Consider the following 2,277-nt stretch of genomic DNA (forward strand, 5'->3'; position numbering starts at 1 on the left):
TGTTGCTCCTTATCACTCTCACGACCAACAGAGAGGAACATTTATTTGGCCTCAAAAGGAAAGTCACAAGACAGACCTCCAGGACTGGAGAAAGAACATGCCCTCCTTGGTAGGGAATTACTCTGTTTGCAGACATTTTCTGCTTTGTTAATATATCCTAGTCCCAGCTACACGGGAGGCTGAGGTAGGAGAATCACTTGAACCCGGGAGGTGGAGGTTGCAGTGAGCCAAGATCGCACCACTTGCCGAGATCCCACCACTTCCCAAGATCGCACCTGTTGCCGAGATCGCACCTGTTGCCAGGCACTCCAGCCTGGGCAACAGAGCAAGACTCTGTCTCAAAATATATATATAATATAATATAACAAAATATATGTTATATATGTTATAAATTTAAGAGTCTGTCTGACCATAACAACATGGATTCTTTTTCAACAAGGTTAATCCTTCTGCAATTGCTGAATGTCCCAATCCTCCAGTAGTGGAGACAGACAATCAATCTCCAACATGGAACCTTACTTGCCAGACACCTGGTAGAATTTCAATTACATCAGACTCCTTTCAATTTTGGAAGAGCAGCAACTCATCTTTATCTGAATTGATACATACTGAGATATGTGTTTGCCTTCTTTGTCTGCAAAACCCACATCATCCCCACAATACAAGGGCTTAGAAAATGCCTAATCTTATTGACATTAAATTGTACACAATGATTTACTGTACCAAAAGGCCCATTATATTGCAAAGGAGGTGCAACAATGGGCTCATGAACAAGAGAATTCCTGGACTTACCATATCACTCAGAATCAGCAAGCTGAAAAGAATGGTGGACTGGGAGGAGGAGCCAAGATGGCTGAATAGGAACAGCTCCGGTCTACAGCTCCCAGCGTGAGCGACGCAGAAGACGGGTGATTTCTGCATTTCCATCTGAGGTACCGGGTGCATCTCACTAGGGAGTGCCAGACAGTGGGCGCAGGTCAGTGGGTGCACACACCGTGTGTGAGCCGAAGCCGGGCAAGGCATTGCCTCACTTGGGAAGCGCAAGGGGTCAGGGAGTTCCCTTTCCGAGTCAAAGAAAGGGGTGACGGACGCACCTGGAAAATCAGGTCACTCCCACCCGAATACTGCGCTTTTCCGACCGGCTTAAAAAACAGCGCACCACAAGATTATATCCCGCACCTGGCTCGGAGGGTCCTACGCCCACGGAGTCTCGCTGATTGCTAGCACAGCAGTCTGAGATCAAACTGCAAGGCGGCAGCGAGGCTGGGGGAGGGACGCCCACCATTGCCCAGGCTTGCTTAGGTAAACAAAGCAGCTGGGAAGCTCGAACTGGGTGGAGCCCACCACAGCTCAAGGAGGCCTGCCTGCCTCTGTAGGCTCTACCTCTGGGGGCAGGGCACAGACAAACAAAAAGACAGCAGTAACCTCTGCAGACTGAAAAGTCCCTGTCTGACAGCTTTGAAGAGAGCAGAGGTTCTCCCAGCACGCAGCTGGAGATCTGAGAACGGGCAGACTGCCTCCTCAAGTGGGTCCCTGACCCCTGACCCCCGAGCAGCCTAACTGGGAGGCACCCCCCAGCAGGGGCACACTGACACCTCACACGGCAGGGTATTCCAACAGACCTGCAGCTGAGGGTCCTGTCTGTTAGAAGGAAAACTAACAAACAGAAAGGACATCCACACCGAAAACCCATCTGTACATCACCATCATCAAAGACCAAAAGTAGATAAAACCACAAAGATGGGGAAAAAACAGAACAGAAAAACTGGAAACTCTAAAAAGTAGAGCGCCTCTCCTCCTCCAAAGGAACGCAGTTCCTCACCAGCAACGGAACAAAGCTGGATGGAGAATGACTTTGACGAGCTGAGAGAAGAAGGCTTCAGACGATCAAATTACTCTGAGCTACAGGAGGACATTCAAACCAAAGGCAAAGAAGTTGAAAACTTTGAAAAGAATTTAGAAGAATGTATAACTAGAATAACCAATACAGAGAAGTGCTTAAAGGAGCTGATGGAGCTGAAAACCAAGGCTCGAGAACTACGTGAAGAATGCAGAAGCCTCAGGAGCTGATGCGATCAACTGGAAGAAAGGGTATCAGCGATGGAAGATGAAATGAATGAAATGAAGTGAGAAGGGAAGTTTAGAGAAAAAAGAATAAAAAGAAATGAGCAAAGCCTCCAAGAAATATGGGGCTATGTGAAAAGACCAAATCTACGTCTGATTGGTGTACCTGAAAGTGATGGGGAGAATGGAACCAAGTTGGAAAACACTCTGCAG

At 47.9% G+C, this 2,277-nt stretch overlaps 1 annotated feature.

Moving 5' to 3' along the window:
* Nucleotides 1,132-1,770: an enhancer, noted in NCBI's record as "H3K27ac-H3K4me1 hESC enhancer chrX:130798263-130798901 (GRCh37/hg19 assembly coordinates)". NCBI's record gives its function as "activates a minimal SCP1, AML or CMV promoter by ChIP-STARR-seq in primed H9 embryonic stem cells {active_cell/tissue: H9 hESC(primed)}" and the evidence as "EXISTENCE:reporter gene assay evidence [ECO:0000049][PMID:30033119]".

Source organism: Homo sapiens, chromosome X, assembly GCF_000001405.40.
Source record: "Homo sapiens chromosome X, GRCh38.p14 Primary Assembly".
Lineage (NCBI taxonomy): Eukaryota > Metazoa > Chordata > Mammalia > Primates > Hominidae > Homo > Homo sapiens.